The sequence below is a fragment of the Homo sapiens genome, chromosome 1 (assembly GCF_000001405.40).
Source record: "Homo sapiens chromosome 1, GRCh38.p14 Primary Assembly".
Classification (NCBI taxonomy): Eukaryota; Metazoa; Chordata; class Mammalia; order Primates; family Hominidae; genus Homo; species Homo sapiens.
The window spans coordinates 109,603,091-109,616,678 of record NC_000001.11 but is presented as its reverse complement, the minus strand read 5'-3'; the positions used below and the strand labels follow the sequence as shown (position 1 = coordinate 109,616,678).

Sequence of the window (13,588 nt, the reverse complement as noted above, 5' to 3'; positions counted from 1 at the left end):
TGTGTGTTTGATTGCCTTTCCTACCAGGGGTGAATGCTAGGTCTTAAACAGCTCTGAATTTCCCAGCACTACTGCAGTATCCCTTTAACTCATTTGTTTTTCTGTGAATTTCCCCCACCTCTGCCTATGGACTGGAAGGTCCTGAAGGTAGTTCCTCATCCTTCATGTCCTCCCACTCCATCTGGGACAAGTCTTTACCCACAATTCACTTAAGACAAGGCTTACCACGGATGTCAGACAGATCCCTTAACTCAGGAAACATGCCCAAATCACTAAGAAACAGTGATTTACTTTTCATTCAAAATGATAATGGTTATAAAGGGCTGTGAATCAAAACACCTGAGCTCTGGCTTGGCTTCTGATACCAACTTGCTTATTAATGTGAGGATCACTTTTCTGTACTTCAGTTCACTCACCTCCAAAATGGAACTAGCACTACATACCTTATTTACTTCATCAGGAAACTGTTCGTAAATGTGATCATAAAGTGGGACAGCCACAGGAAAGGCACAGGAACTGACGATAGAGGCAGAGGCAGGAGGTCACAGACATCAGGATGATGTATGCACAGTAATGGATCTGTACTCTCAGGCCAGGCGAGGGCTAGCAGTTCCCTCTCTCAGCTTAGCAGTGAGAAAGGGGAACTTCCATCCAGTAAGTTAGGGAACAAAGCAGAAGCAGCACAGAAGTTTGCAGAGGTAGTAGCAGAAAAAGGAACAAGCCCACTTTCCCTGTGTGTGAAACAACTTAGTGGTTCCTTTAACAAGGGCTGCTGTTATAGAGTTCATGCATTTGTCCATGCTTTCTCTCTCTGGCTACTTATGTGGAAGTAATAGAAAGAAGGATCACCGGTTTGTCTGTTTACTAGGCCATATAACTTTGTTTTTTTGTTTTTGAAACAGAGTCTCACTCTGTCACCCAGGTTGGAGTGCAGTGGCGCAATCTCGGCTCACTGCAACCTCCACCTCCCGGGTTCAAGCGATTCTCATGCCTCTATCTCCCAAGTAGCTGGGTGCATGCCACCATGCTGGGCTTTTTCTTTTCTTTTCTTTTCTTTTTTTTTTTTTTTTCTGAGACGGAATCTTGCTCTGTTGCCCAGGCTGGAGTGCAGTGCCTCCCGGGTTCAAGTGATTCTCCTGCCTCAGCCTCCCAAGTAGCTGGGATTACAGGTGCCTGCCACCATGCCTGGCTAATTTTTGTATTTTTTTTAAGTAGAGACAGGGTTTCACCATGTTGACCAGGCTGTCTCGAACTCCTGACCTCAGATGATCTGCCCATTTTGGCCTCCCAAAGTGTTGGAATTACAGGCGTGAGCCACCATGCCCGGCCTAATTTTTGTATTTTTAGTGGATACGGGATTTCACCATGTTGGCCAGGAACTCCTGACCTCAGGTCATCCACCCACCTCAGCCTCCCAAAGTGCTGGGATTACAGGCATGCGCCACTATGCCCAGCTGACTTTAAATGAGTTACTTAACTCTCAAGTCTCAGTTAATCTAGTCTGTAAATTGGGGACAATAGCAGTTATTGTGATAATTAACTGGTATGAGCCACTTACATTGTTCAGCAGTTATTAATTATAATAACTATAACATAATAATTATTAATAGTTCCAGGCAGCCCCTTGAACAGTGTAGCCTTCAGCATGGCTCTGGCCTCAGTGTGAGTTACCAGTATTGTGAGTACGCTGGAGCAGGGCTAGCAGTGGGGTATAATTACTGAAACCTTATAACCAAGATTCCAAGATAGTCACAATTTCAAAGAGACTCTCCTGTTTTTCCTTAAGTCAATAAGGACTTGCCAATTTGATTGGGAAAACATGGCTACCATGGAAAGCACCTCAGCAGCTGCATATTTCTCCATCAGCCCCTACAGTCACTGAAAGGTGGTGCGAAGGAGGAAGATAATTAGCTATGGCTCAGGGTACCTGATAGGCGGGGAGACCTAGATTCTACTCCTGACCTTCCCAGTCCCAACTGGCCACTGCTGCACAAGTCCAGCTCTAAAATGAAAGAGCAAATTACATCCTTCGACCTCAGTAGTTCTCCACCTTGGCTGTACACTAGAATCAGCTGGGGACGTTTTTAAATCCTTGTGCCTGGACTGCACTCCAGACCAATTAAATCAGTATTTTTTAAAAAGCTCTCCAGGTAAATGCCACTGTACACTAAAAGTTGAGAACTGTTTCAGGCCAGGGTTTTTCAAACTTCACAGATGTGATAACTACCTGTATTAGCTTAAAATATTTTCTCTGGCTCTGGAGTTTGATGCTAACATACCATTTAAAAACATACACTATTTTAACATCTCGGAAAGCAGGGTAATCTTCTAGTCAGTGGCACCTAAGACTTGAGGAAACACAGACACCAGCAACCCAGGTGATTCTTAGGATTAGGTAAGTTTAGCGGAAAACAGGTCCCTAGGGCAGTACTTCCCAATCTTTAATGTCTTTAGAGTCACCTGAGATCTTGTTAAACTGCGGATTCTGAATCAGAAGTTCTGGATTAAAGCCTGAGATTCTGCATGTCTAATGAGCTTCCGGGTGATCTGATGTTGCTGGCTCTTGATCCACATTTTGGGCAACAAAATTCTAAAACATCTCCACCTGAGGAGGCTCCGCCAGCAACACTCATTTAAGTAAACTGAAATAATTGGCATAGAGGAGTACAACCTGTGGAGTCCTAAATGTCTGTGAGGCAGTTGCTAGACTGCACCCTCATTTTTCCCCCAGGAAAGGGCAGCTGGGATGAGAGCCAGAAGGAGAGAGAGCTGCCCCAACCTTTGAGAAGCCAGAGTCTGGAGTCCAATTTCCCAAAGAAGCAGAGTTTTTTGTGTGAGGCAGCACAAACCCCACACTGAATACCAGCAAAGTTCATTTATGAAGTGAAGTTGGGACTCAGCTGGCTTTAGTGGGCCAAAGGGAAGCAACCCCATTCTCTTCACCATACACCCTTTTCCTGCATTTATTCATTCACCAAACCTTTTGATCCACAAATAAACTACAAGTTCTGAGAGGTTCAAAGATGAGTCAGATTTGGTCCGTTGAGCTCCAGGGGGAGAAATGCAGTGAGGGAAAAGATTTGTAAAACGACGTACAATATGAAGTGATAAGTGCTAATAACAGAAGTACAAAGAGAGGGGCCAATGCAAAGGAACAATGCTAGTAGCTTCCTGGAGCAGCAGCCACTGCGGGAGCTGAAACATTCCTAATCTTCCCAAGGAAGGGCACCACCCAAAACAAATTTCCTGGCCAGGACCAGCCTATGGTAAACGAGTATGCTTTGATACCCTGAAGCCCTTGAGATCAAGACCTTATAATCTGGAGGCTCAACATAAGGAATGCTTTCTACATATGTGCCAGTAATCTCTAGCTCTATGATGCAAATAAATCTAAGGAAGCAAGAGACTTTCAGGGGATGAACCCCTTAAAGGATGGAAGTAGTCGTGCATCCTATCCTTCCGTCAGAACCCAGCAGATCATTTCCCTAGTTATAGAAACATTTGAGTCTTTACCCCTTGCCATATTGACAAAGCTCTTAATTGGCTTGACCTATCACATTGCTAGATATAAAGGCTACAATCCCTAGACTAAGAAGTAGGTCTCCAGTTGAAGTAGGGAGTCTCAGTCAATGTAGGCAGAGTACAAGACCCTACAGCCTGCTCTCTCACCTGCCATCGTACAGACCAGCTTTTAGGGGAGCCAAGTTGGGATACTCAATCCCAACTTTTTTCCTTCTCTTCCATCTCACATACAGGAAACCTTACGAGAGAGGATTAGGGGCCTGAAAAAGCTGACAAGACGGCAAATATGGGAAGTGGAGCCAGTGCTGAGGACAAAGAACTGGCCAAGAGGTCCAAGGAGCTAGAAAAGAAGCTGCAGGAGGATGCTGATAAGGAAGCCAAGACTGTCAAGCTGCTACTGCTGGGTGAGTGAGATGGGAAGATGAGCCAGAGAAGGCAGGGGTCCTTCCTACTTTCCTGAAGGGTTGGTGGGTTCTACCTCACCCCATGGGAAGGAAGGGTGGCAGGTCATTTTTCCTCTCCTCTACACAGTCTGGCTAGGGGATCAGGAGATCTAGAGCTGAGTTAATATGGGGCCTAAACAGCCACCCCAAGGGGATCCAGAATGCCAAGGCTATTCCAGAGTTTTTCTACTCTTGAGCGAGGAATAGTGCAAGGGCCACCATGAACCCACCCATTTCCAAATCTAACCAAACCTAACACATCCTTTTGGCTTCAAGGACCCTGGACTTGCAGACTGTACCCAATCTGCAGAGAACTCTAAGCCAAGAAATCAGAAGAGAACAGGACCTTCCCTCACCAACAGGCTCACAAGTCCCACCATACAGTCAGTGCCAACAGTACCAGAGATAGTCCCACTGGTTTTTGCCAAGTATAGTGGTTCCTTCTTGCTTTCAGTAAAAACTTTGGAAGTAGGGGGCTCTGAGGAAGGAGGAATGGTGTCTTTATGTACAGCAGTCCCTTCCTGGCTCTCTATTCAATAGCTGCCTGCAAAGCTCCTGCCAGATGGAAGGTTCATCAACTTGATGAGCTCCTAAGCAGATCACTGGTCTGTGCTGAGAAAATAAAAGCACCTCAATTTGTCAGGGAAATTGATCACAGCTGTAAATAAAACCAAGACAAGAACATTTGAGACACGTGGCTTAGGAAAACAAACCACTGGTACCACAGAAGTAGGGTAGCTGGAGCAGGTAGGGTCTACGTAGCAGAAGATTAGATGCCTGAGCTGGGTTTCCAAGCCCCCATAAGGGATCTGGGAGCTGACGCACTAGGCTAAGGCACCTTCTTTTCCCCCAGCTGATCTGTGGCACAGTCGTAAGGACACACTAAAGGAGCATATCTTTGTAAGCTGGACCAGACTCTAAGGAGCCCAGGAGGTTACGCAGGGGGAAACAGAGATGGTGGGGCCACTGAGAGATCTTTTAAGCCTAAGCAGATTTCTTCTACATTCAGGATAAGCTGCTTAGAGGGAACAAGCACAAGCGAAATAGGAGGAGTTCGAGGCATTAGGGTAGTATAAACTCAGTACTAGAAGGTATGAGTTTTTGATGGAGAGAGCAGAGTGTGAATGAGGACATTAGGACACATTAGTCAATAAAGGGAACCCACTTAGCCCCATCCAAGACCAGGTTGAGCAACATGGTGAAAACCTGCCTCTACGGAGGGGCGGGGGGAAATGGCCGGATGCAGTGGCGCACGCCTGTAATCCCAGCGCTTTGGGAGGCCAAGATGGGTGGATCTACCTGAGGTCAGGAGTTTGAGACCAGCCTGGCCAACATAGTGAAACCCCATTTCTACTAAAAATACAAAAATTAGTCAGGCATGGTGGCATGCGCCTGTAGAGTCCCAGCTACTCAGGAGGCTGAGGCAGAAGAATTGCTTAAAACCCAGGAGGCAGAGGTTGCAGTGAGCCAAGATAGCACCACTGCACTCCAGCCTGGGAGACAGAGCAAGACTGTCTCAAAAAAAAAAAAAAAAATGTAGTCGGGCATGATGTCGCACACCTGGAATCCCAACTACTCAGGAGACTGAGGTGGGAGGATCACTTGAGCCTGGGAAGTCAAGGCTGCAGTAAGCCGAGATTGTGCCATTACACTCCAGCCTGGGCTACAAACCTGAGACCCTGTCTCAAAAAAAAAAAAGGGAACCAGCAAGGTGATGAAAATATAGTTATTTTGGTGAAATGATCCAGCTCTCTCCAATCCTACCCCAAGATCACTCTCCTGAGTCAAAAATAGGCAGAGAGGAGAAATGTTAAAGGACTCCCCCTGAATCTGTTAGTGGTTTTCAACAGGAAGATTTTGACTGCCAGTGGTCATTTGGAAATGTCTGGAGACACTTTTGGTTGTCATAACTAGGGAAGTGGGATGCTATTGGCCTCTAGTGGGTAGAGGCCAGGAATGCTGCTGAACATCCTACCATGCATGAGACAGCCCAAACTAAATAGTACTGAAGTTAAGAAACTGCTCTAAATCCAGGTTGAATGGCCTGAGCTCAAGCCTGCCAGAAATTGAGGGCAGCAGTCATCCCTATGTATTCTCCCCTAACAAGACCCCCAAGCAAGCAGTGGCTCTGACTTCTCCCAGGCCATCTCCTGGAAGGCTGAGGAGAACTGGTGGAAATCGAAAGCATAAGCATTTTTCCTTCCAGGTGCTGGGGAGTCAGGAAAGAGCACCATCGTCAAACAGATGAAGTGAGTAGAAACAAAGCCCCAAAAGACAAGATAGGGTGAAGAAGTCAGTACAGCCAGTGGAGGTATTCAAAGTGAAAGGCTCTTTAGCCTCAAGGAGCCCAGGTATAAAGGATCTGATTCCAATGCCCCTCATCTGTACCCCTTGTCCCTCACCCTCCACTTTGAGAAAGCAGTAGCAACAGAGAGATAGGATTCTTATGATCCTTTAAATACCCCCAAATTCCTAATCCCTTAGGTCTGGTTACTCAGGTCCAGCTAAAGACAGAGTGTCTGCCCCTTGCAGGATCATTCACCAGGATGGCTATTCACCAGAAGAATGCCTGGAGTTCAAGGCTATCATCTATGGAAATGTGCTGCAGTCCATCCTGGCTATCATCCGGGCCATGACCACACTGGGCATCGATTATGCTGAACCAAGCTGTGCGGTATGTGATTACTATTATGTGGTTAAGGGTGGAAGCAGAAAGGCTAGCAAGAAGAAACATACCAGAGGCCAACAAACTATATGGAAAGATGGGTAAGAAAAATAGTAACTAAAATCCCACCTGCTGGGTGGGATCTCACTGCTAGGTGTACTGTGTATACCATCTCAAGGCCCTTTACCCATCTACGCAGTAAGACCTTAAGGTAGACGGTACCTTTCTAATTAGCCTCATTTTACACATGGAAAAACTGAAGTTCAGAGAAGTTAATTAACTGCCCAAGGTCATGTAGATAAATAGCAGAGACTGCATTTGCATTGGGCTGCTTGACTACAAAGCTGAATATTTTTCATAATACACCACAATTATGCAGTCCTGGAGAAGTAAGCAACATCCACCCTTATTTTTACTGGGACAGGGTCTTCCTCTCTTACCCAGGCTGGAATGCAGTGGTGTGATCATGGCTCACTGCAATCTCACCCTCCCAGGCTTAAGTGATTCTCCCACCTCAGCCCCAGTAGGTGGGACCACAGGTGTGCACCACCACACCCAGCTATTTTTTAAAATTTTTTTGTAGAGAAGGGGTCTTGCCATCTTGTCTAGGCTGGTGTCAAACTCCTGGCCTTAAGCAATCCTCCTGCCTCAGACTCCGAAAGTGTTGAGATTACAGGTGTGAGCCACCGTGCCTGTCCTCAAGCCCTACTTTATAACACATATTTACAAAATAAAGCTGCTCACAGCTTCCTCTGCTTTTTTACTTTACCATTTAAATTGCTACCCTTGGGTTCCTGGCCATGGAACTTTTGTAAGTGAAATCCCTACTTCTAGTACTGGACTTTTTCTAGCTTTCAATCGCTGAAGAACAAAGGTGATGGGTCCCTGTCTTCTATCTTGTCTATTTCATGGTCAATCTGGCCTTTACATTTTCAGTCTCTCTGCAGCAGAGGACCCACGTTTTGTGGCGGTAAACTTTCAGACTAAGGATGGAAGCCAGAAACTCCAGAGAGGAAATACCTGGGACCCCTGCCCCGCTTTAGACACACCCCAGGGCTGGGTATAGTGCCACCCTCTGCATCTGGGGAGCATACTCAAAAATTCAACAGTATGTTTTCTTACATAGAATCTTCACTGGATACTGCTTCCATCTTAGGTCTTCGTAGTAATGTAAAATGATTTCCATTCAGCAGTATTCCCAGAAGCCTCCTGGAAAGCTATTACTCCTGTGAAGTTCTTAACCAGGTTTCTGCATTACAGGATGACGGGCGACAGCTCAACAACCTGGCTGACTCCATTGAGGAGGGAACCATGCCTCCTGAGCTCGTGGAGGTCATTAGGAGGTTGTGGAAGGATGGTGGGGTGCAAGCCTGCTTCGAGAGAGCTGCAGAATACCAGCTTAATGACTCCGCATCTTAGTAAGACTGACTGGTGAGAGGGTGGGTTGATGCTTAAGCAATCTTCTAGCCAGTCTTCTCTCTGGTTGGGAGAAACCTCACCCAACCCAAAATTTCAGGCATTGAAAGCTGGAGACCCAGACTGAATTCAGCCTGTGGATCTGTTTTGTTAGGCTTCAGCAATGTTTTGAATTTAATGCTATGGGGAGATCTGCCACAGTTGTCATGACTTTCTATTGCTTTACACTGGCTCACTACAGCCTACAAGGCTGAAGATGCAAAATTCAAAAGACGTGTTCTGCCTAGTAGCCCTCAGCCCTGTTCTCTTAATTGAGGTGTACACTAAGCCTCTCCTTCCAGAACCCTAAGATAGCCCTGCAGTTCTGTCATACACTCTCGCAGGAGTAATGTGATTCATGATGGCTCTTTCAGGGCAGAATTTTCTATCTGGTAATCTAGGATCTACTTAGGCCACTAAGCAGAAATGAGTCTCCTACACCTAGAGCATCTTATGTCACGATGCCAAGGCAGGGGACACAAACTACAAGGGCAAACCAAGGGAAGGTGGTCAGGAATTAGTACCATCATTGCAAAGCTGCTTCCAAAAAGCTAAGGGACATAATTTATCAATCCTACCTCAGACAGTATGGGATCATAGACAAGTATGGGCTTCAAAGTCAAACCTGAGTTTATTTAACCTAACCATCTGTCTCCTAATCTTGTAATAATGCTATCACTTACTGTTCCCGGAGCACTCAAAGCCCAGTCACTGCTAGGTGTACTGTGTATACCATCTCAACGCCCTTTACCCATCTACGCAGTAAGACCTTAAGGTAGATGGTACCTTTCTAATTAGCCTCATTTTACACATGGAAAAACTGAAGTTCAGAGAAGTTAATTAACTGCCCAAGGTCATGTAGATAAATAGCAGAGACTGCATTTGCATTGGGCTGCTTGACTACAAAGCTGAATATTTTTCATAATACACCACAATTTCTCTTGACCCTAGCCAAGTATTTAACTCTTCTGAATTTCTCCATCTGTAAAATGGGGATATGAAACTTGATGGCTTAGGAGTTTAAACGAGAATCTGAACATTAAAATGCCTGGCATACAATAGGCACTTGTGTTACTTGTACTTCCCTCCTCCTCTCAGTCATCTCAGTTCACATCTGCCTTCCTCTTGCCTTTTTTTTTTTTGGAGACGGAGTCTCGCTTTGTCACCCAGGCTGGAGTGCAGTGGCGCAATCTCGGCTCACTGCCAGCTTTGCCTCCCGGGTTCACGCCATTCTCCTGCCTCAGCCTCCCAAGTAGCTGGGGATACTGGCGCCCGCCACCATGCCCAGCTAATTTTTTGTATTTTTAGTAGAGATGGGGTTTCACCGTGTTAGCCAGGATGGTTTCGATCTCCTGACCTTGTGATCCGCCCGCCTCGGCCTCCCAAAGTACTGGGATTATAGGCGCGAGCCACCGTGCCTGGCCACCTTTTTTTTTTTTAAAAAAAATAACTTTTTCTTTTTTAAGGTAACTTTCAAACATACAAAAGTAGAAATAACATAATGAATTACCTTCAACAGTTATCAACTCATGGCCAATCTTATTTCTTTTTACCTCCATTCCCTACTGGATTATTTTGAAGCAAATTCCAGGTATCATTTCATCCTAAAAATGTCATTATGGATCTCTAAAATATTGACCCTTTTTATAAAAAGAATATAATCACACCCAAATAGTTAACAATTCCTTAATAGCATCAAATATCACCAAGTCGGTGTTCAAATTTCCCCAGTTATCTCAAATGTTTCCTCCCCAGTTTGATTCAGGATATAAACAAAGTCCATGTGTTGCATTGGTTCATGTCTTTAAAGTCTCTTTCAATTTACTGCCTCTTGATGGAACTTTTAGCACCCACTAAATCTCATTCAAAAATCTACAAAAGCTTGCAGTCAGGGCAAACCCAAGGAAAACTTATCTAACTTGATTTAAATGCGCTGGAACTCCAGCCTCAAATGGGCTTGTCCCTCAGTCCATCCCCCATTTCCTCTAGTTAATGACATATGAAGGTTTGAAGGAAAGAATCCTAAATTTAACAATATGGCTTCTAGTCCTGATTTCTATCACCAAATTAGCTGTGTGACTTTGGGTAAGATACCTTTTACGTCTCTTAGCCTCGTCTGTGGAAAATTTGTCATTGATGCTAATCACTTTTCTCTAGCTACCTGAACCAATTAGAACGAATTACAGACCCTGAGTACCTCCCTAGTGAGCAAGATGTGCTCCGATCCAGAGTCAAAACCACGGGCATCATTGAAACCAAGTTTTCCGTCAAAGACTTGAATTTCAGGTAAGTGCATGGTTCCCTAGGGCATCTCGGATACACGTGTGGAATCCTGAAAAGGGGCACAGGCAGGCTTCTTGGCCTTTGGTGAAGCCTAATCTAAATTACTGTTCTGCTTCTCCCCCTTTTCCTCTCCCACTTCACGGGGTGACCATCAAAGGCATATAGGTCGTATGTTGGGCATACCTATGAAAATAGCTGCTTCTTCCCTCAGGATGTTTGATGTGGGAGGGCAGAGATCCGAGAGAAAGAAGTGGATCCACTGCTTCGAGGGAGTCACCTGCATCATTTTCTGTGCAGCCCTCAGTGCCTATGATATGGTGCTGGTGGAAGATGACGAAGTGGTGAGTGGCCTTTGCATCAAGCAGCTTTGGTAGAACAAGTTCTCCCCATGACCCTTTCTCTAAGCCTTGTGTCACTCTACTGCCCCAACTTAGGTAATTTCAGTCTAGCAGCCCTCCAGCAGACCAATCAATGTCTCATGCAAATAATTCTAAAAAACAACTTCTTCTGCAGGTTCTAGATTAGCATTTTAGAGCTCCAAATTTACTGACAGTGAGCTTGGTCTCAAATTAGACATCTAAGTATCACTTGGACATCACAAAGCTCATAAGAGGAATTGAGTGCAAAGAGATAAGGGACCATCAACTAGGCAAAGCAAAGGAGTTACACTTAGTACTCTCCCAAATTGCCTAAGGAAGGAGATGAAAATGACAGAACAGAGAAAATAACATATGATATGAATCTTCATTGCAACATAATAGAAGGGTTGAGCTAGTAACCCCACTTAGGAGGCTAAAAATGTACTGTCCGTAGGAGTTTAAGGAGAGACTGGCAGACCAGCTTTCTCTCATGCCAATTAAATTGGCAGCTGGAAGACTACCCAAGAGTGGTTCTCTTTAGCCTGTAGAATTCTGTAGGACAGGAGTTCTATAGGACAAGTGTTAGAGCCCAGCCAGTTTCTGAATTTGGGAAAGGTTAGAGGTGAGAAAAACGTTAATTTCACCCAAGCATCTGCTTTCTGAATTTGGGAAAAGTTAGAGGCGTGAAAAACGTTAATTTCACCCAAGCATCTGCTCACAAATGGAGGTCCACACCTTGCTGATGACCTCTGAATTTGGGAAAGGTTAGAGGCGTGAAAAATGTTAATTTCACCCAAGCATCTGCTTACAAATGGAGGTCCACAGCTTGCTGATGAAAGGGATACTCCTATCCCTTGCCACAGCTTGTTCTCTTCCCTTCCCTTTGGTAGTTTTAACTTCACATTAGAGCACTCTGAATATCGTCTAATCAAAATGTCTTACAGAGCTATTCACTTCCCATCTTTAAGCCTAAAGATTACAGTCTATGAGACTTTCCATCTTTAACCCTAAAGTCTATGAGTCTATGAGGTTTATTAAAGTCTATGAGACATTAATAAAACAAGTCTATGAGACCTTAAAGGGTTGTACAGGAGTATTATGGGGAAAAAGCCACAAATGGGATTGTTCTTGCTTTATTAGATAAGTAGACTGAACGCAAGTCAGCTGATAGTATACTTCAAAACCCTAAAGACCTGCTCCCTAAAAGCAAGCTGGGCTGGGGCAATGGGCAGCCTCTGCAGATATGCAGCCCGACTTCTCGCTAAGTAGCAATCAGAGAAGGAAATGAGAGAGCAGAAATGCTTGTGGTATGGCACTGGGAAATTCTCTAACTCTCACCATGTGGCAGCAGGACCAAAGTAGCCCAAACTGAGATCTGGGACCCCATGAAAGAAGCCTATCAAAATCATCCTGGAGATGCATATGGGCACATGCTAACTTGGGCCTGTTTCAACCCATTATCAGCACTACTTATAAAATGTCAAGTTCTCAGTTGCATCCTGGCTGCTAAAGATCTGCATAACACATTATAGACCTATATGCCAGCCACTATCATGGACAATATACATACACAATCTCATTTAGCTTTCATTGTAACCCTATAAGATAGGAAAACAGACTCAGAAAAAGCTCAATAATTTTCCACAAGTCACACAGCTATTAGAAAGATAGGGAACTAGAATGATCCCACATCTCTCTGGCTTTACTCTGGTACATTGAGATAAGCTGTTCTCTGTCTTGCTTTTTACATTTGGAGCACTGGTCTCTCCAAGGGGAACAAGAGCAGGAAGTAGGTAGATATTCTATAAGCCAAATCTGATATTTCCAATGGTGTTTCCTCTTACTAGAATCGTATGCATGAGTCTTTGCATCTGTTCAACAGCATATGTAACCACAAATTCTTTGCGGCTACTTCCATTGTCCTCTTTCTCAACAAGAAGGACCTCTTTGAGGAAAAAATCAAGAAAGTCCATCTCAGCATTTGTTTTCCAGAGTATGATGGTAAGTGTCAGGGGCTGGAAATAATAATAATGCCTTTTAGTAGAGACTGGCAATTGTCTCATTTTTTAGGCCAAGATGACACAAAGGAACTTAAGGGAGAACCTTGGGCACAGTTACAGGGTTTAAATTCAGATACTCTGGAATACAGCAGGCATTAGATGCAGGAGAGCCACTGACTTCATATGATACCTACTGAAAACCAAAGGTGGAAAGACACCTCTCCTCAATTTCTTTTCAACTAAAGTGAGAAACACTGGAGTGCAATAGAGAATCTTCCCTCCAAAAATAGGCCCCCAACTGCTGTTGTCTAATAACATTTCAAGGATCAAGTCAATCACCTAAAGTGAGTCAGCAACTAACAAGGGTTCATTTATTCTACTTTTTCACTATTTTTCTGGAAAACCAGGTAACAACTCCTATGATGATGCGGGGAATTACATAAAGAGCCAGTTCCTTGACCTCAATATGCGAAAAGATGTCAAAGAAATCTACAGTCACATGACCTGTGCTACAGATACACAGAATGTCAAATTTGTGTTTGATGCAGTTACAGATATTATCATCAAAGAAAACCTCAAGGACTGCGGCCTCTTCTAATCCTCACCATTCCTCAGGTATAAGTTCTATAAACAGGCTTGGAATCTGGGTAATTAAAAACAGAAAATTATAGTCAATATACCATGACATGAAGAATGAATCCATTCTTTGGAGATGGAGTATACATGACTGCAACTGTATTTCATACGTTCTTTTCAAAGTGGGATAGCTATTGCAGCTTAAAGAGCACAGGCCAGTAGTTAGAAGACCCCCCAGGTTCCAGTACTGGTTTTCCAACTTAATACAAAACTGTGAATACTTTA

General features: G+C 44.4%; 1 protein-coding gene across 3 annotated transcripts in view, besides 1 other annotated feature; it reads left to right on the top strand.

Moving 5' to 3' along the window:
• GNAT2 (G protein subunit alpha transducin 2) overlaps positions 1–13,588 on the top strand; it is a 16,526-nt gene extending 2,938 nt beyond the window's left edge. For 2 of the 3 annotated variants that reach the window (NM_001379232.1, NM_001377295.2), the window contains exons 2-9: positions 3,756–3,926; positions 6,172–6,214; positions 6,498–6,639; positions 7,891–8,048; positions 10,243–10,371; positions 10,580–10,709; positions 12,575–12,728; positions 13,135–13,588. In NM_001379232.1, the coding sequence (NP_001366161.1) occupies positions 3,809–3,926; positions 6,172–6,214; positions 6,498–6,639; positions 7,891–8,048; positions 10,243–10,371; positions 10,580–10,709; positions 12,575–12,728; positions 13,135–13,325 (1,065 nt within the window). In that variant the 5' untranslated portion in view covers positions 3,756–3,808 and the 3' untranslated portion in view covers positions 13,326–13,588. Of the gene's footprint in view, positions 1–3,594; positions 3,927–6,171; positions 6,215–6,497; positions 6,640–7,890; positions 8,049–10,242; positions 10,372–10,579; positions 10,710–12,574; positions 12,729–13,134 lie in introns of those variants that run through there. The other variant, NM_005272.5, reaches the window with a different exon arrangement.
• Positions 10,586–10,786: a silencer, noted in NCBI's record as "peak357 fragment used in MPRA reporter construct". NCBI's record gives its function as "represses an SCP1 promoter by STARR-seq MPRAs in K562 erythroleukemia cells {active_cell/tissue: K562}" and the evidence as "EXISTENCE:reporter gene assay evidence [ECO:0000049][PMID:32103011]".